Below are 20,335 nucleotides of genomic sequence, written 5' to 3' on the forward strand. Positions count from 1 at the left end.
AAAGACTTAAATGTAAGACCTAACACCATAAAAATCCTAGAAGAAAACCTAGGCAATACCATTCAGGACATGGGCATGGACAAAGACTTCATGACTAAAATACCAAAAGCAATGGCAACAAAAGCCAAAATGGACAAATGGGATCTAATTAAACTAAACAGCTTCTCCATAGCAAAAGAAACTATCATCAGAGTGAACAGGCAATCTACAGAATGGGAGAAAATTTTTGCAATCTACCCATCTGACAAAGGGCTAATATCCAGAATCTACAATAAACTTAAACAAATTTACAAGAAAAAAACAACCCCATCAAAAAGTGGGCAAAGGATATGAACAGACACTTCTCAAAAGAAGACGTTTATGCAGCCAACAGACAGATGAAAAAATGCTCATCATCACTGGTCATCAGAGAAATGCAAATCAAAACCACAATGAGATACCATCTCATGCCAGTTAGAATGGCGATCATTAAAAAGTCAGGAAACAACAGATGCTGGAGAGGATGTGGAGAAATAGGAATGCTTTTACACTGTTGGTGGGAGTGTAAATTAGTTCAACCATTGTGGAAGACAGTGTGGTGATTCCTCAAGGATCTAGAACTAGAAATACCATTTGACCCAGCAATCCCATTACTGGACATATACCCAAAGGATTATAAATCATTCTACGATAAAGACACATGCACATGTATGTTTATTGTGGCACTATTCACAATAGCAAAGACTTGGAACCAACCCAAATGCCCATCAATGATAGACTGGATTAAGAAAATGTGGCACATATACACCAAGGAATATTATGGAGCCAAAAAAAAAAAAAGGATGAGTTAATGTTTCTTTGCAGGGACATGGATGAAGCTGGAAACCATCACTCTAAGCAAACTATCACGAGGACAGAAAACCAAACACTGCATGTTCTTACTCATAAGTGGGAGTTGAACAATGAGAACACATGGACACAGGGCAGGGAACATCACACACCTGGGCCTGCCGGGGGGTGGGGGGCTGGTGGAGGGATAGCATTAGGAAAAATACCTAATGTAAATGACGAGTTGATGGGTGCAGCAAACTAACACGGCACATGTATACCTATGTAACAAACCTGCACGTTGTGCACATGTACCCTAGAACTTAAAGTATAATAATAAAAAATATGTATATATAAAAGAAATGTGGCTAGCATAAATTTAGATATGCTATAAGTATAAATTACACACCACATTTCGAAGACTCAGTATGAGAAAATATATACAATATCTCATCAATAATTTTTACATCAATTATAGGGTGAAATAATATTTCACATACATTGGGTTAAATGAAATATATGACAATTAAATTTACTTTTTTTTCTTTTTACTTTTTTAATATGGCTACCATAAAATCTTAAATTACATATGTGGCTCACATCATATTTATACTGGAGAGAGTTGTACTAGAGCATGTTTGTATGCTAATATAATGATCTAGTAGAGAATCAGGAATTGATGATGTAGAAAGAGAAAGAGTAGGGAAAAGAGAAAAGACCTTTAGAGCTTAAGCAGATAAGGGGTGATGGACATCATACATAGATCAACAAACAAGTAGAGAAAGGCATGTACATAGATAATATTTGTTGTATCCTTTATACAGAAAGAACTCACTCTTTTTAAACAGCCATGAAGCAGTAATAAACATTTATCAAGGACTAAGTCACAAATAAAATCTCAAATATCTAAAGGTACAGATCACATGGTAATCAAACAAGAAATCAGTATGAAAAAGACAGCAAACTCAATCTAATTACATGGACATTATAAAACAGTTTTCTAAACAACTCTTGGATTAAAGTGGAAATCAGTACTAGAACACAGACTGTTTGAAATTACCAATGAAACAACACTCCATTTCAAAGCTTATGGGATACAACCAAAGTCTTAACTCAAAGGAAAATTCAGAGCTTTCAGTGATCTTCTTAATATATACGGAAGATTGAAAGTAAATGATCTAAGCACCCAGTTCAAGAAAGTTTAAAAAAATTAAAAAAAAAAAAATAAGCCAACAGAGAATAGGAGAAACTAATAAAAATAAAATTCAAAATTAATGAACTAGAAAGCATGGCAAAACAAAATTGCATAGACCTGGTAAATAAAGCAATTGTTTTATTTTGTTTTTGTTTTTAGAATACAACATACAAACCATTAATAAGTGTGAACAAGAAAAAAAGAGAAAGAAAATGCAAATATCTACAACAAGGAAAGAAAAATAATTCAGCATTAAGAGATTTTTAAAATTCTAAAATTCCAAATACCCACCAGTAAATTAGAAAATCTACATGAAATAGACAAATTTTTAGCAAAATGCAGATTACTAATATTAGCTCATGAAGAGAGGAAATTATCCCAATAATCAAAGAAAAACTTGAAAATGCAGCAAAAGCTCTAACTTCAAAAAAAGCACCAGTTCCAGTTTGTTTTATCAGTAAGTTCTAATACATCATAAAGAACAGATAATTCCTGGATTATTTAAACATTCGGCCAGTACAAACTATGAAAAACTTCCCAATACACTTCACTGACAAATTTAATTCTGATACTAAAGTATACTAAATACTAAACAATAGTAAAAATAAAATACATATTGGGTTATTCTTAAAATCCAAAGTCAAATATTAGCAAGTCTAATTAAGAATGCTTTTGACAGCAAGTAACAGAAACCCTGACTCCAATTATCTTTAAAAATGAGGGTATTTCTGAACTCAACAGAAATCTAGAAGTAGGATAAGTTTTAGGATGGGTTGTGGTTTAATTACGTTATTAAGAACCCAGGGGAGGGGGGCCAAGTTGGCCAATTAGAAGCAGCAGCTGTCTGTGGCACTCAGGGAGAGGAAGAAAGGAGCAAGTGAATATAGCACCTTCAACTGAAATATCCAGGCACTCACACTGGGACTGATCACAGAAACAACTCGACCCATGGAGAAGAGAGAAAAGCAAGGTGGGGCAATAGCCCACCTGGGAGCAACATGAAGCCAAGAGAACTCCCACCCCCAGCCAAGGGAAGCAGTGAGTGAGTGTGCAACCCCAGGAAACCACGCTTCTCCCACGGATCTTTGCAACCCACAGATCAGGAGATCAGTGCACCCACACCACCTTGTGCACCCACATCACCAGGGTCTTGGGTCCCACACACAGAGGTGTGTTGAGTCTCAGCAGAGCAGCTGCTCAGGCATGCATAGAGATCCAGGAACTTTACATATTCCGGCCCCAGGATCCCCAACAGAGGTGTCTGTAACTCAGGCAAGGTGGGAGGTCTGTACATACCCCTAGGAAGGGGGCTGAATCCAGGGAGCCAAGCAGCATCAATCTGTGGGTCCCACTTCCACAACACCTCACAAAATAAGACCTACTGGCTTGGAATATAGCCTACCTGTGATGGGACAGAGTCCCCAGTGGGAGGGGTGGGCTGCCATCTCTACTGTTTGGTTGACTCAGCCATTTCAGTCTATGGGCTTCGGAGAATCCATATGGTTCAAACAAGGAAGGGTCTTCCCAGAACACTACAGCGGCATTGCCTGAACGTGGCCAGGTTGCTTCTTTAAGTGGGGCCCCAATCCATTCCTCTTCACTGGGAGGGACCTCCCAACCGGGGCCTCCAGCCATCTCTGCCTGTATTCCACAAACGGATCCTGATCTCTTTCTGGAATAGCATGCCCGAGGGGAGGCGAGGAGGGAAGGAGGAGGGGAGGGGAGGAGGGGAGGAAAGGAGGGCCACCAAGCTGGCTGTTTGAATGACTCAGCCATTCCAACCAGTGGGCTTTAGAGAGTCCAAGCCAACAAGGGCAGAAGCAGTTTCCCAGCACAACAAGGCTGTTCTATTGAGGCATGGCCAGATGGCTTCTTTAAGTGGGACCCTGATCCACTTTTCCTTGACGGGTAGATCATGCCAGCTGGGGTATCCAGCCACCCCCGCCCATGTTCTGTGGCCAACAGACTTCTAATTTTTCCCTGGGACAGAGTGCCCAGAGGGGAAGGCGGGCCACCAACTTGGCTGTTGGGCACCTCAGCCAGTTCAGCCTGTGGGCCTCGGAGAGCCCAAACCAACAAGGGGCTGATGGGATCCCCAACACAGCACAACTGCTCTATCAAAAACAGCCCAACTGCTTCTTTAAGTGGATCCCTGATCCCGTTCCTCCTGACTAGGTGAGATGTCCCAACTGGGGTCTCCAGCCACCCCCTACATACTGTGTGCTCATGCTGGCAACAGGACAGTACCGCCCTGGGATGGAGCTTCCAGGGGAAGGGGCAGGCTGCCATCTTTGCTGTTTCATAGCATTCACTGCTGATACCTCCAAGTACAGGAAAAACTGAGGCAACCAGGGTGTAGAGTGGACCCCCAGCTAACTGCAGCATCTGTAAGGAAGAGTAAACAGACTGCTAAAAGAAAAAGATGAAAAAACAAAACAATCCATGAAAGCGCCATCCAAAGGTCAGCAACCTCAAAGATCGAAGATAGATAAGCCCACAAAAATGAGAAAGAATCAACGCAAAAATCTTGAAAATTCAAAAACCCAGAGAGCCCCTTTTCCTCCAAATGATCACAACACCTCTCCAGCAAGGGCTCAGAACTAGGCTGAGCCCAAGATGACAGAAGTAAGCTTCAGAATGTGGACAAAAGCCAATTTTGCTGAGCTAAAGGTGTATGTCCTAACCAAAGGCAAAGAAGCTAAGAATCATGATAAAACAATGCAGGAGCTGACAGCCAAAACAGCCAGTATAGAAAGGACCATAACCGACCTCACAGAGCTGAAAAACATACTACAAGTACTCGCAATGTAATCCCAAGTATTAATAGCAGAATAGACCAAGCAGAGCAAAGAATCCCAGAGCTTGCAGACTATCTCTCTGAAATAGGACAGGTAGACAGGAATAGAGAAAAAAGAATGAAAATGAATGAATAAAACCTCTGAGAAATATGGGTTTATGTAAAAGGACCAAACCTACAACTGATTGGGGTACCTGAAAGAGACAGGAAGAATAGAACCAAGTTGGAAAACATACTTCAGGATATCATCCAGGAGAATGACCCCAACCTAGCAAGATAGGCCAACATTCAAATTCAGGAACAAGAGAACCCCAGTAAGATAACTATTCAAGAAAATCATCCCTAAGATATGTATCAGCAGATTCTCCAAAGTCAAAATGAAAGAAAAAATGTTGGCTGGGCACAGTGGCTCATGCCTGTAATCCCAGCACTTTGGGAGGCCAAGGTGGGTGGATTACTTGAGGTCAGGAGTTCAAGACCAGCCTGGCCAACGTGGTGAAACCCTGTCTCTACTAAAAATACAAAAATTAGCCAGGTGTGGTGGCACATACCTTTAGTCCCAGCTACTCAGGCTACTCAAGAGGCTGAGGCAGGAGATTTGCTTGAACCCAGGAGACAGAGGTTGCATTGAGCTGAGATCGTGCCACTGCACTCCAGCCTGGGTGACACAGTGAAACTCCATCTGAAAAAAAAAAGAAAAAAGAAAAAAATGTTAAGGACAGCCAGAAAGAAAGACCAGGTCACCTACAAAGGGAAGGCCATCGGACAAGCATTGGGCCTCTGAGTGGAAACCCTACAAGCCAGAAAAGATTGGGGGCCAGTATTCAATATTCCTAAAGAAAAGAATTTCCAACCCAGAATTTCATATGCAAACTAAGTTTCATAAGCAAAGGAGAAATAAGATCCTTTTCAGACAAACAAATGCTGAGGAAATTCATCACTACCAGACCTGCCTTACAAGAGCTCCTGAAGGAAGCACTAAATATAGAAAGGAAAAACCATTACCACTACAAAAACACACTGACATACCAATGATACAATGAAGTATCCACATAAACCTGCAAAATAACCAGCCAGCATCATGATGACAGGATCAAATCCACACATAAAAATGCTAATCTTAAATGAAAATGTGCTAAATGCCTCCCAAAAAAAGATACAGAATAACAAGCTAGATAAAGAGCCAAGACCCATTAGTATGCTATCTTCAAGAGACGCATCTCACGTGCAAAGACACACATAGGCTCAAAATAAAGGGATAGAGGAAAATTTACCAAGCAAATGGAAAACAGAAAAAAACAGGTGCAATCCTAGTTTATAACAAAACAGACTTTAAATCAACAAAAATCAAAAAAGATAAAGAAGGCCACTACATAACAGTAAAGGGTTCATTTCAACAAGAAGAGCTAACTAACCTAAGTATATATACACCCAATACAGGAGCACCCAGAAAAAGAAAGTACTTAGAGACCTTCAAAGAGACTTAGACTCACACACAATAATGGTGGGAGACTTTATCACCCCACTGACAATATTAGGCAGATCATTGAGACAGAAAATTATCAAAGACATTCAAGACCTCAACTCAGCTCTGGATCAAGTGGGCCTGATAGCTATATACAGAACTCTCCACTCCAAAACAACAGAATATACATTCTTCTCATCGCCACAGCACTTACTCTAAAATTGATCACATAATTGGAAGTAAAACACTCCTTGGCAAATGCAAAAGAACTGAAAACATACCAAAGAGTCTCTCAGACCAAGGTGTAATCAAATTAGAACACAAGATTAAGAAATTCACTCAAAACCATATAACTACATGGAAAATGAACAATCTGCTCCCGAATGACTTTTGGTTAAATAATGAAATTAAGGCAGAAATCAAGAAGTTCTTTGAAACCAATGAGAACAAAACTACAATGTCCAGAATCTCCAGAATGCAGCTAAAGCACTGTTAAGAGGGAAATTTATAGCACTAAATGTCCACATCAAAAAGCTAAAAAGATCTCAAGTTAACAACCTAACATCACAACTAAACAAACTAGAGAAAAAAGAGCAAACCAACCCAAAGTTAGCAGGAGACAAAAAATAACCAAAATCAGAGTAGAACTGAAGAAGACAGAGACATGAAAAACCCTTCAAAGAATCAATGAATCCAGGAGCTGGTTTTTTGAAAAAAATTAATAAAATAGATAGACTGCTAGCTAGACTAATAAAGAATAAAAGAGAAAAGATTCAAATAAACACAATCAGAAGTGATAAGGGTGATATCACCACTGACCCCACAGAAATACAAACAACTATCAGAGAATACTACAAACACCACTATGTACATAAACTAGAAAAATCTAGAAGAAAAGGATAAATTCCTGGACACATACACCCTCCCAACACTGAACCAGGAAGAAACTGAATCCCTGAATAGACAATAATGAGTTTGGAAATTGAAGCAGTAATAAATAGCCTACCAACTGTTGGGAAAAAGCTGAGTGTTGGGAAGAAAGCTGAGGCAGGGCTCGCATGTCTGCCACAATGTCCTCTGGAATGTGTCTAGACTTGCTGGCTCCTTGCTTCTAGCCCTCCTAGGCTCCTAGTTCGATTGTATCTTCATTATCTCAAGTAGCAGAACATGTTCCTTATAAATGCCAAACCATCACAGCTGTAGATCATGCACCTGCTCTTCTGACCTCCACATTCTCACCACCTGTTTCTCTGTTGGATTACCAATAAATAGCATGGGCTCCCAGAGCTCAGAGCCTTCACAGCCTCCATACACTAACAATGGCCTCCTGGTTCCACCTTTCTCCCTCAAACTGTCTTTTTCTCAATCCTTTGACTCTGCTGGACTTTGTCACCCCCATGACCTGGTGTTGGGTCTGATCACCCCAACACCAACAAAAAAAAAAAGCCCAGGACCAGACAGATTCACAGGTGAGTTCTACCAGAGGTACAAAGAACAGCTAATACCACTCCTACTGAAACAATTTAATATTCAAAAAGATCGAAAAGGAGGGACTCCTCCTAACTCATTGTATGAGGCCAGCATCATCCTGATATCAAAACCTGGCAGAGATACAACAAAAAAGAGAAATTTCAGGCCAATATCTTTGATGAACATCAGTGCAAAAATCCTCAACAAAATACAGGCAAACTGATTCCAGCAGCACATCAAAAAGTTTATCCACCATGATCAAGTTGGCTTCATCTTTGGGATGCAAGGCTGTTCAACATACAAAAATCAATAAATGTTAAGTTATCACATAAACAGAACTAAAGACAAAAATCACATGATTATCTCAATAGATACAGAAAAAGTCTTTGATAAAATTCAACATCCCTCATGTTAAAAACTCTCAATAAACTAAGTATTGAAGGAACATGTCTCCAAATAATAAGAGCCATCTATGACAAATGCACAGCCAATATCATACTGAATGGGCAAAAACTGGAAGCATTCTCTTTGAAAAGTGGCACAAAACAAGGCTGCCCTCTCTCACCACTCCCAGTCAACACTGGAAGTTGTGGCCAAGGCAATCTGGCAAGAGAAAGAAATAAAGCATATTCAAATAGGAAGAGAGGAAGTCAAACTATCTTTATTTGCAGGTGACATGATCCTATATCTAGAAAACCCCAATGTCTCAGTCCAAAAGCTTCTTAAGCTGATAAGCAACTTCAGCAGTCTCAAGATACAAAATCTATGTGCAAAAATCACTAGCATTCCTATACACCAACAACAGGCAAGCTGACAGCCAAATCCCATTCACAATTGCCACAAAAAGAATAAAATACCTAGGAACAAAGCTAACCAGGGAAGTGAAGGACCTCTTCAAGAACTACAAACCACCACTCAAAGAAATCAGAGAAGACACAAAAGAACAGAAAAACATTCCATGCTCATAGATAGGAAGAATCAATATCGTGAAAATGGCCATACTGACCAAAGTAATTTATAGATTCAATGCTATTTCTGTTAAACTACCATTGAGATTCTTCACAGAATTAGAAAAAAACTATTTTAAAATTCATATGGAACCCCAAAAGAGCATGAATAGACAAGGCAATTGTAAGCAACAAAAACAAAGCTGGAGGCATTATGCTCCCAAACTTCAAACTATACTACAGGACTACAGTAACCAAAACAGCATGGTACTGGTACAAGAACAGAAACATAGACCAATGGGACAGAATACAGAATCCAGATATAAGTCTGCACACCTACAACCATCTGATCTTTGACAAACCTGATGAAAGCAAGCAATGGGAAAAGGATTCCCTATTTAATAAATGGTGCTGGAGAACTGGCTAGCCATATGCAGAAAATTGAAACTGGACCCCTTCCTTATACCATATACAAAAATTAACTCAAGATAGATTAAAGACTTACATGTAAAACCCAAAACTATAAACACTTCAGAAGAAAACCTAGGAAATATCATTGAGGACACAGGCATGGGCAAAGATTTCATGACAAAGACGCCAAAAGCCAAAATTGACAAATGGGATCTAATTAAACTAAAGAGCTTCTGCACAGCAAAAGAAACTATCATTGGAGTGAACAGACAACCTACAGAATGGGAGAAAATTTTTGCAATCTATCATCTGACAAAGGTCTAATATCCAGCATCTATATGGAATTTAAACAAATTTACAAGAAAAAAACAAACAACCCCATTAAAAAGTGGGCAAAAGACAAAACAGACACTTCTCAAAAGATGACATAGATGTGGACAACAAACATGAGAAAAAGCTCAACATCAGTGTTCATTACAGAAATGCAAATCAATACAACAATGAAATACCATCTAACACCAGTCAGATGGCTATTATTAAAAAGTCAAAAACAACAGATGGCTGGGGAAGTTGTGATGAAAAAGGAACACTTTTACACTGTTGGCGGGAAAGTAAGTTAGTTCAACCACCATGGAAGACAGTGTGGCAATTCTTCAAAGACCTAGAGGCAGAAATACCATTCAACCCAGCAATCCCATTACTGGGTATATACCCAAAGGAATAAAAATCATTCTATTATAAAGATACATGCATGCATATATTCATTGCAGCACTATTCACAACAGCAAAGGCCTGGAACCAACCTAAATGCCCATCAATGATAGACTGGACAAAGAAAATGTGGTATATATACACCATGGAATACTATATAGCCATAAAAAGGAATGAGATCTTGTCCTTTTTAGGGACATGGATGGAGCTGGGGGCCATTATTCTTAGCAAACTAATGCAGAAACAGAAAACCAAATACCACATGTTTTTACTTACATGTGGGAGCTGAATGATGAGAACATATGGACACGTTGTGGGAAGCAATACACACTGGGGCCTGTCAGAGGACAGGGCATGGGAAGAGGGAGAGCATCAGGAAGAATAGCTAATGAATGATGGGCTTCATACCTGGGTGATGGGATGATCTGTGCAGTAAACCAACATGGCACACATTTACCTATGTAACAAACATGCACATGCTGCACATGTACCCCTGAACTTAAAATGAAAGTTGGAAATTAAAAAAAGAATCCATCCTTTCCATCTTCCTGGTCTGTCATTCTTTGTGTTATTTCATTCCTGGTTAGGTAGCAACATGATTGCAATATTTCCAAGCATCCAGACATGATTTCCAGAAAAAGATGAAACACTAACTCTTTTAGATTTCTACTCAGGAGCCAAAGACACTTTTCGCAGAAGTTCACCTAGCAAGCGTCATTGCTTACTAGCAAGAGTTGGATTACATGCTCATAACTGAACCAACCCTAATCACCAGAATGGAGTTGTTTTAGACCAGCTCATCAGCATCTCCTGGAGGACTTGTTAAAATATACATTGCTGGACCTCATCCCCAGGGTTTCTGACTCAGTAGGTCTGGTATGGGTCTTGATACTCTGCATTTCTAATAAATTCCCCAGTTACATTAATACTGATTATCTTGGACCAGTCAGGACTATCTCTAGAGCTGGAAATGAGGTCGACTTCCCCAAGACAGCTAGCTACACCGAGAATGGATACCTGAACACAGCAGTGACTCTATTAGAAAATAAGGAAGTATAAATGGATGTGCAGCAGCCTCCATGCTAATCTAAGAATCTATTAATAAAACCGTATTACCAAATAGGATTTAGCCTAAGAATACAAGGTGATTGAACATTTAGAAATGTATTCATGTATTACACTAATAGATTAAGGAGAAAAGCTTCATGCTTTGTGTTACTAAAGGCCAAAAGACATTTGATAAAATTAAAAATCCATTCCTGACTTGAACTCAGTTTCTTCAGCTTTAAAATGGTGGTAGGGGGGTTGGAGATAGGGTTTGTATTATATGACCTCAAAGTTCCCTTCCACTGTAAAGATTTATGACTCTAACACTCTGCAGTGACCACTGGATAAGTTCTCCATAAAGAACATTTTGATGAGCCAAAATGTAAAAACTATATTATTTTTATCACTAAGTAATGCCCAACTGATCTTCTCAAACACTCAATATTCTTTTCTCCCTCCCTGAACCTGGGTGTGGCTCACACACGAGTGAAGAAAGGGTGAGGCCGAGACTCTGTGAAATGGAAAGGGTGTATGTTGAGCACATTATCTGGTAAATTTTTTTAAATTAAAGTATAGTGGTCTATTTTTAGGCTACATCAAAATGACTCCCAGTCAAAACTTCAGGGATCCTTTATAGTCTGATGGCTACTTACTAAAAGGCAAATATCCTGAGGGAAGGATCTTCAGGAAAAGCACTAACATGCACTGAGAGATCACCAGTGTATTAGTCCGTTCTCACGCTACTAATAAAAACATACCTGAGACTGGGTAATTTATAAAGGAAAGAAGTTAATTACTAACAGTTCAGCATGGCTAAGGAGACCTCAGGAAACGTACAATCATGGCAAAAGGAGAGGCAAACACATCCTTCCTCACATGGCAGCAGCAAGGAGAACTGCAGAGCAAAGTGGGAGAAAAGCCTCTTATAAAACCATCAGATTTTGTGAGAACTCACTGTCACAAGAACACCATGAGAGTCCCTCCCACAACATGTGGGGATTATGGGAACTACAATTGAAGATGAGATTTGGGTGGGGACACAGTCAACCATATCAACCAGATACCAGGCTAGTCAAATGTACCACTTGCTGCAGGGATGTCAACTATCTCAATGAGTGAATATGTAAAGAATTTTGTAGAGTAGAGAATCTCAAAGATGTCTACCATCTCTGGGTGGGCTATCTACTCAATCACAGCCAGAGGCTATGGGCTATCAATCGTTCAATGAACCTCTACACCCAGGATGCATCTAAACAAAGGTTTTATAAAGAAAGCCTGATCTCAACAATGTTTTTCATGTAAGAAGAACCTTCCTGGTAATTATAGTGATTTTAACAATTTAGCAACATTGACTGAAACTTCCTGAAGTTTGTTTTGAAACACTGGAGTGAGCTTTTTGAACAATTCAGGAAAATAATAGTTCATATACAACTATTCTAATGTACACACAGTGGCAATTTCTTTTTCTTTTCTTTTCTTCTTGTTTTTTTAACCTTATTGAAGTACTGCAAAATACACAGAGAAAACAGCAATTATCTTAAATATACAGTTTGATTAATTTTTACAAACTAAACACATGTAATAGCCAGTATCCAGATCAATGGTCCTGTGCAATCACCAAGTAGCCAGCTTTCTTTATGAGGGAGTGTAGGCACACTTGTAGTCCTAGCTACACAGGAGTCTGAGGCAGAGGATACTTGAGCCCAGGAGTTGGAGGCTGCAGTGAGCCAAGTTAATGCCACTGCACTCCAGCATGGGTGAAGTGAGGTCCTGAATCAAATAATAACAATAATAATTTACTACTCCAAAATCCCTCTGAGAGTTATTTCTCATTGTAGCATTTTATTAGCTGTTGTCTTTCATTTTCACTCCTACATTTCCTACTTTGATTTCTCTCCAGATTGTAGAAGTCCTGTAGTAGATATAATAGGGAGTAGTAGATATAATGACAACATTAAACATGATTGATATGGTTTGACTGTGTCCCCACCCAAATCTCATCTTGAATTTAACTCCCACAAGTTCCACAGGTCACGGGAGGAGCCCAGTAAAAGGTGAATGAATCATGGGGGCAGGCCTTTCCTGCACTGTTCTCGTGACAGTGAATGAGTCTCACAAGACCTGATGGCTTTAAAAATGGGAGTTTCCCTGAACAAGCTTTCTTTTTGCCTGCCACCATCCACGTAAGATGTGACTTGCTCCTCCTTGCCTTCCACCATGATTGTGAGGCCTCCCCAGCCATGTGGAACTGTAAGTCCATTAAACATCTTTCCCATATAAATTACCCAGTATCAGGTATGTCTTTATCAGCAGTGTGAAAATGAACTAATACAGTAAACTGGCACCAGTAGAGTGGGGCACTGCTGAAGAGATACCCAAAAATGTGGAATCAACTTTGGAACTGACTAACAGGCAGAGGTTGGAACAGTTTGGAGGGCTCAGAAGAAGACGGGAAAATATGGGAAAGCTTGGAACTCCCTAGAGACTTGTTGAATGCCTTTGACCAAAATGCTGATCATGATATGGACAATGAAATCCAGGCTGAGGTGGTCTCAGATGGAGATGAGGAGCTTGTCGGGAATTAGAGAAATGGTGACTCCTGTTATGTTTTAGCCAAGAGGCTGGCAGCTTTTTGCCCCTGCCTAAGATATTTGTGGAACTTTGAACTTGACAGAGATGATTTAGGGTATCTGGCAGAAGAAATTTCTAAGCAGCAAAGCATTCAAGAGGTGACTTGGATGCTGTTAAAGGCATTCAGTTTCATAAGGGAAGCAGAGCATAACAGTTCAGAAAATTTGCAGCCTGACAATGTAATAAAAAAGAAAATCCCGTTTTCTTAGGAGAAATTCGATCTGGCTGCAGAAATGTGCATAAATAACAAGAAGCCAAATGTTAATACCCAAGACAATGGGGAAAATGTCTGCAGGGCATGTCAGAAGTCTTCACGGCAGCCCCTCCCATCACAGGCCTGGGGGCCTAGGAGGAAAAAACGGTTTCAGGGGCCAGGCCCAGGGTCCCCATGCTGTGTGCAGTCTGGGCACTTGATGCCCTGTGTTCCAGCTGCTTCTTTTAGCCATGACTAAAAGGGGCCAATATACAGCTTGGGCCATGGCTTCAGAGGGTGCAAGCCCCAAGCCTTGGCAGCTTCCACATGGTGTTGAGCCTGTAGGCACACAAAAGTCAAGAATTGAGGTTTGAGCACCTCTGCCTAGATTTCAGAGGATGTATGGAAATGCCTGGATATCCAGGCAGAAGTTTGCTGCAGGGCCAGGGCTGTCATGGAGAACCTCTGCTAGGGTAGTGCAGAAAGGAAATGTGGGGTCAGATCCCCCACATAGAGTCCCTACTGGGGCACTGCCTAGTGGAGCTGTGAGAAGAGGGCCACCATCCTCCAGACCCCAGAGTGGTAGATCCACCAACAGCTTGTACCGTGTGCCTGGAAAAGCCACAGACACTCAACACCAGCCTGTGAAAGGAGCCAAGTGGGAAGCTGTACCATGCAGAGCCACAAGGGTGGAGCTGCCCAAGACCATGGGAACCCACCTCTTGCATCAGCATGACCCAGATGCAAGACATGGAGTCAAAGGAGATAATTTTGGAGCTTTAAGTTTGACTGCCCTGCTGGATTTTGGACTTGCATGGGGCCTATAACCCCTTTGTTTTGGCCAATTTCTCCCATTTGGAATGGCGGTATTTACCCAATGCCTGTAACCCCATTGTATCTAGGAAGTAACTTGCTTTTGACTTTACAGGCTCATAGGCAGAAGGGACTTGCCTTGTTTTGGATGAGAATTTAAACTGGGGACTTCTGAGTTAATGCTGAAATTAGTTAAGACTTTGGGGAACTGTTAGGAAGGCATGATTGGTTTGAAATGTGAGGACATGAGATTTGGGAGGGGCCAGGGGCAGAATGATATGGGTTGGCTGTATCCCCACCCAAATCTCATCTTGAATTGTAACTCCCACAATTCCACACGTGATGGAAGGAACCCAATGGGAGGTGACTGAATCATGGAAGCAGGTCTTTCCTGCACTGTTCTCATGATACTGAATGAGTCTCACGAGATCTGATGGTTTTAAAAATGAGAGTTTCCTGCACAAGCTCTCTTTTTGCCTGCCACCATCAACATAAGATGTGACTTGCTCCTCCTTGCCTTCTGCCATGATTGTGAGGCCTCCCCAGCCATGTGGAACTATAAGTCCATTAAACCTCTTTCCTGTATAAATCACCCAGTTTCAGGTATATCTTTACCAGCATCATGAAAACGAACTATTACGATGATAAAGAAAAGCAGTGGAGAGATTATCAGCCCCACTCACTGAAGGTTGACAGGACTGCCTTAATGATATGTACAGGTTACTGTGCCCAAGCTTTCTTTATTTCTGAAAAGACAATCAAATCTAACAAGAAAGTTTATAGAGTTGAAAAAAAACACAATCTCACCATCCTAACATTAATTTTAGTTTTATATGTCTCCTCCCATTGGTACAGGGATTTTTACCTAGCTCTAATTACAGTCATGCATCACTTAACGATGGGGATATGTTCTGAGAAATGTGTCATTAGGCAATTTTGTCATTGTGTGAACATTATGGAGTGCACTTACACAAACCTAGATGGTATAGTCTACTACATACCTAGGCTACATGGTATAGCTTATTGCTCCTACGCCTCAAACCTGCACAGCACATTACTATACTGAATACTGTAGGCAATTATAACACCATGGTAAATATGGCTCAAGCCTGTAATCCCAGCCCTTTGGGAGGCTAAGGTGGGAGGACTACTTAAGCCCAGGAATTTCAGACCAGCCTGGGCAACACAGGTTAGGAAGACCCCGTCTCTACCAAAAATAAAACAATTGCCCAGGTATGGTGGCATGTGCCTGTAGTCCCAGCTACTCAGGAGGCTGAAGTGAGAGGACTGCTTGAGCCCAGGAGCTTGAGGCTGCAGTGAGCTATGATCACACCACTGCACTCCAGCCTGGGTGACAGAGCAAGGCCCTGTCTTAAAAAAAAAAAATGAAAAAAAAAAGGATAAAAAATGGTACACCTATATAGGGCATTTACCATGAATATAGCTTGCAGGACTGGAAGTTGCCATGGGTGAGACAGTGAGTGAGTGGTGAATGAATGTACTGTAGACTTTATAAACACTGTACACTTAGGCTACACTAAATTCATGTGTAAAAATTTCTTTCTTCAATAACAAATTAACCTTACCTTACTATAACTTTTTTACTTTATAAACTTTAAAATTGTTTTAATGTTTTGACTCTTCTGTAATAACACTTAGCTTAAAACACAAACACATTGTATAGCTATACAAAATACTGTATTTTCTTTTTTATATTCTTATTCTATAAGCTTTTTTATAATTCTAAAAGGTTATTGTCTTTTGAAACTTTTTAAACTTAAAAACAAAGACATAAATGCACACATTAGCCTAGGGCTTCACAGGGTCAGGATCCTCAAGACATCACTATGCGAAAGGAATTTTTCAGCTCCATTATCATCTTATGAGACCACCGTAGTATATGTGGTCCAATGTTGTATCACATGACTGTATAACTAGAGACATCTTGCTCTTTTACTCCCAGCTGTGGACAAACAAGAAACTTTGCTGTTGTGGCTGCAGGAAGGCGACCCAATGTTTCTCTAATACTTTGTACAACGTAGTCCTCATGCCCACTATGTGTAACAGGTCACAAATATTCATTAATAAAATATAGTCAAACCTTTAGGAGTTCACAATCTAGTGAGAGAGACAGGCATCATGGTGCACTGTTGTTTTTCCAAATGCCCATTGCTAATCTGTTCATTTTATTCTTCTGTCAAAGCAGTAAAGACAGAAGAGAAGATGTGAGTCATCCCAGAGTCACAGCCCTCTGGAAATGCCTGAAATCCATTCTTTCCTGTCCCTCAGATTACTGTAAGGACTTCAAGGTTCTCTCCGACCCTTATAGCTGTATGAAAACACTTTTTCTGATAGGAGAGCCTCCACCCTCTCTCTAAGGAAAGTAAATCCTTTCTTAGTCAAGCTCTCCCTTTTCCACACTCCGGTCTTTCCCTGGAATGTCTCCTCTGTCCTTCCTCCCCTCCTCCTTTCCCATTATACATCTCACTAACCCTCAGGAAAATAGCTTTAAAATTTTCCCTCTGGAATGGGGCCCAGTCCACAGAGCACCTACCTTTGGTATAAGTCAGATGTTAAACTCAATTACCTACGAAGGCCAGGCAGAACAGCGTTCTTCTGACTTTGTTTGCATATTAAGTTCATGGAACATTCTCTACTTTCACAAAGAAACATGATCATTTTTTTCTTGAAATATACAGCCCTTAGTTAAGCTTTCATTTGCACAGTTTTGACAGATAAGAATGCAAGAACTATTTCTTTTTCCTCCCAATTCTACTCTAATGTTAGTAACTGGCAGAGGACCTTCTGAGTAACAGAGAACATTGCCCTCTAAAAGGCTACTCAGCAGCCACTGTTTGCCAGATGGAACATGGGCCTGGTGTTGCTGTGTTGCTAGATCTTCTGACCTTTCAGGAGACAAAAATCCAGATATTTTTATGAAAAATCATGTTTTCAAAATGCTGATGTGGACGAAAGAAAGAGAGATCAGACTGTTACTGTTGTCTATGCAGAAAGAAGAAGACATAAGAAACTCCATTTTGTTCTGAACTAAGAAAAATTCTTCTGCCTTTAGATGATGTTAATCTGTAACCCTAGCCCCAACCCTGTGCTGGCAGAAACATGTGTTGTGTTGACTCAAGGTTTAATGGATTTAGGGCTACGCAGGGTGTGCTTTGTTAAAAATGTGTTTGCAGGCAGTATGCTTGGTAAAAGTCACCGCCATTTTCCAGTCTCAAGTACCCAGGGACACAATGCACTGCGGAAGGCCGCAGGGACCTCTGCCCAAGAAAGCCTGGGTATTGTCCAAGGTTTCTCCCCACTGAGACAGCCTGAGATATGGCCTCGTGGGAAGGTAAAGACCTGACCGTCTCCCAGCCTGACACCAGTAAAGGGTCTGTGCTGAGGAGGATTAGTGAAAGAGGAAGGCCTCTTTGCAGTTGAGATAAGAGGACGGCATCTGTCTCCTGCTCATCCCTGGGAATGGAATGTCTCGGTGTAAAACCCGACGTACATTCTATTTACTAAGATGGAAAAAACCGCCTTATGGCTGGAGGTGAGACATGCTGGAGGCAATACTGCTCTTTACTGCACTGAGATGTTTGTGTAAAGTCAAACATAAATCTGGCCTATGTGCACATCGAGGCATAGAACCTTTCCTTAAACTTATTTACGACACAGAGACCTTTGCTCACATGTTTTCCTGCTGACCCTCTCCCCACCATTATCCTATAGTCCTGCCACATCCCCCTCACCGAGATAGTAGAGATAGTGATCAGTAAATACTGAGGGAACTCAGAGACCAGTGCCGGGTCCTCCGTATGCTAAGCGCCGTCCCCCGGGCCCACTGTTCTTTCTCTATACTTCATCTCTGTGTCTTATTTCTTTCCTCAGTCTCTCATCCCACCTGACGAGAAACACCCACAGGCGTGGAGGGGCTGGCCCCCTTCAGTGGACAGCTAATTCAAGACAATTTAAAATGCTCCAAAGTCTAAAGCAAACAAGTTCACAGAGTGCAGAAGCATTGCCAGTGTACAGCTTCTGGCACTGTAAATTCTAATGAGTATTTTATTATATTTGCTTAATTTACAACAGACAATAATATAATTATGCCTTTGACAGACATCAATAATCTGTTTCTGTATTCATTCTCCATATTTATAGAGTATTGTGTTTTCTAGCTGATTTCCACAACATATTGTTAACAGTGCCTTAGGCCAAACTACTCTTCTTTCCCAACTATTCTCTTTCTTCCCTACAAAGGGAGTTAAAACAAGGAGCTGTTAAAACTTGGAGCCAAATTAGAGATTAAATTACATTAGCTTTAAACGGTTTTGTGAAGTGGCTAGAAATTTTTACCAGTAATCTTACTGCAAGTCCTGGGTCACTGAAGAACTCGGTAAATATGATTAGCATGCACGCACCAACACATCACTGTGATGAAAACGCAAATCACAGTATGTGAGTCACTACTCTCAACATTGCCATGCCCCTGCCTTAAACCTGCCAGCCCCATCCAGAGGATTTTTCTCATCTCTGAACTCCAATCATTTACACCTTCCCCCATCAGAATTTACCCTACATTTTATTATAATTGCATATAAATATGCCTTCCCTGTAACAGCAGGGACTGTGTTTCTCCACTGTATGGCCTGGCACAGTGTCCAGCACACAGCAGGCAAAGCAAGAGTTACTGCATGAGCCAGTGTCATCATCCAAACGATAGCTACCATTTCCAGAGCACCTACCGTGAGCTGACTAGTTTACCTACATTATCCTGGTGGCTTTCCCAGACCAGACCACCCAAACCAAAGCAGCCCCCCAGTCACCCTCTAGGCACATAACCCTATTTTAGTTCTCTGAATACGACTGATTGCTGTCTAACATATTTTGGTTTGTGTGCTTATTGTCTGTCACCGGTTTCCCTTCACAAGAAGGAAAGCTCCAAGAGGACAGGCATCTTATCTACCTTGTACTTGGCTCATAGCAAATAAATGAATCTAAGCCGCCCACCTCCCTGGGTGACAGAGTTGACCTGCACACAGTAGGTCTCAAAGAGTATGTTTTAAATTTTATATTTAGATTTCAAGATAATTGTGTTGAATATTTTATGGTTCATAACAAACAGAAAGGGGAGGGCAGAATAAAAATAAATAAAAGTTTAGTTACATTACCCTAGCACTGACATTGGTACGGGAATTTTTGCTGCAATAAGAAAGCCACTTCCTCTGACATAAGGTCACCCATACTTCTGGGTCTTGCCACATCCTCTTAGACAGTTCATCGTAGCTGGGCTGGCTGGGGCGGTCAGGACTCCAGACGCTCACACTAAAAGAGGGGTGGTAGTCGAGCAGTCACTCCACTCCTCTGTAGGGAGCTGGCCGCGAGTGGGTGCGCAGCAGGGTGCGCGCGGACCCGTGCAGCGCCCAGGGCGGCTGTGCGAAGCCGCCGCAGCCTGCGCGCCCAGGCGATTCTCCACCTTGGGGCTCGCCTTCCTGCCGCGTTCCTCTTCCTTCCATCCCTAAAGCGCGTACGCCCTGCAGAGTCAAACCTGGCGCATCCTCAAGCTTCCAGGGGGCAACGTGACCGAGCCCCGCATCACGTGTGCAGAGACGGCCTATAGTGTCTGAAGGATGCCACCTAGTCGCAGGCCCGGCGGCGCCACCAACAGCGACCGCGGTAGTCCAGCTCGCGCCGCGTCCCGGCCCCAGCCCGGCCCGGCCCAGCCCCGCCCCGCGCCCAGCCCCGCCCCGCCCCGCGCCCAGCCCAGCCCCCGCGGCCCGGCCCCCAGCGGCCGGCCTCCCGCGGCCCCGCCCCCGCCGCCCCAGTCCCCGCCCCTCGCGCCTTCGTT

The 20,335-nt window shown here is 41.7% G+C and overlaps 2 long non-coding RNA genes across 2 annotated transcripts in view, besides 3 other annotated features; both read right to left on the bottom strand.

The window, feature by feature from the left end:
• The window catches only part of PRDX6-AS1 (PRDX6 antisense RNA 1), a 43,574-nt gene extending 39,185 nt beyond the window's left edge, over positions 1-4,389 (bottom strand). The window contains exon 1 of the long non-coding RNA NR_125960.1: positions 3,405-4,389. This is a non-coding gene — a long non-coding RNA (PRDX6 antisense RNA 1). The remainder of the gene's footprint in view (positions 1-3,404) is intronic.
• The window catches only part of LOC100506023 (uncharacterized), a 242,096-nt gene extending 221,914 nt beyond the window's left edge, over positions 1-20,182 (bottom strand). The window contains exons 1-2 of the long non-coding RNA NR_037845.1: positions 19,659-20,182; positions 5,351-5,481 (exon numbers count right to left, since the gene is read on the bottom strand). This is a non-coding gene — a long non-coding RNA (uncharacterized LOC100506023). The remainder of the gene's footprint in view (positions 1-5,350; positions 5,482-19,658) is intronic.
• Positions 3,119-3,618: an enhancer, noted in NCBI's record as "H3K27ac hESC enhancer chr1:173429231-173429730 (GRCh37/hg19 assembly coordinates)". NCBI's record gives its function as "activates a minimal SCP1, AML or CMV promoter by ChIP-STARR-seq in primed H9 embryonic stem cells {active_cell/tissue: H9 hESC(primed)}" and the evidence as "EXISTENCE:reporter gene assay evidence [ECO:0000049][PMID:30033119]".
• Positions 19,367-19,903: an enhancer, noted in NCBI's record as "H3K27ac hESC enhancer chr1:173445479-173446015 (GRCh37/hg19 assembly coordinates)". NCBI's record gives its function as "activates a minimal SCP1, AML or CMV promoter by ChIP-STARR-seq in naive H9 embryonic stem cells {active_cell/tissue: H9 hESC(naive)}" and the evidence as "EXISTENCE:reporter gene assay evidence [ECO:0000049][PMID:30033119]".
• Positions 20,161-20,330: a silencer, noted in NCBI's record as "silent region_1555". NCBI's record gives its function as "represses an Ori minimal core promoter by ATAC-STARR-seq in GM12878 lymphoblastoid cells {active_cell/tissue: GM12878}" and the evidence as "EXISTENCE:reporter gene assay evidence [ECO:0000049][PMID:35858748]".

Source organism: Homo sapiens, chromosome 1, assembly GCF_000001405.40.
Source record: "Homo sapiens chromosome 1, GRCh38.p14 Primary Assembly".
NCBI lineage: Eukaryota > Metazoa > Chordata > Mammalia > Primates > Hominidae > Homo > Homo sapiens.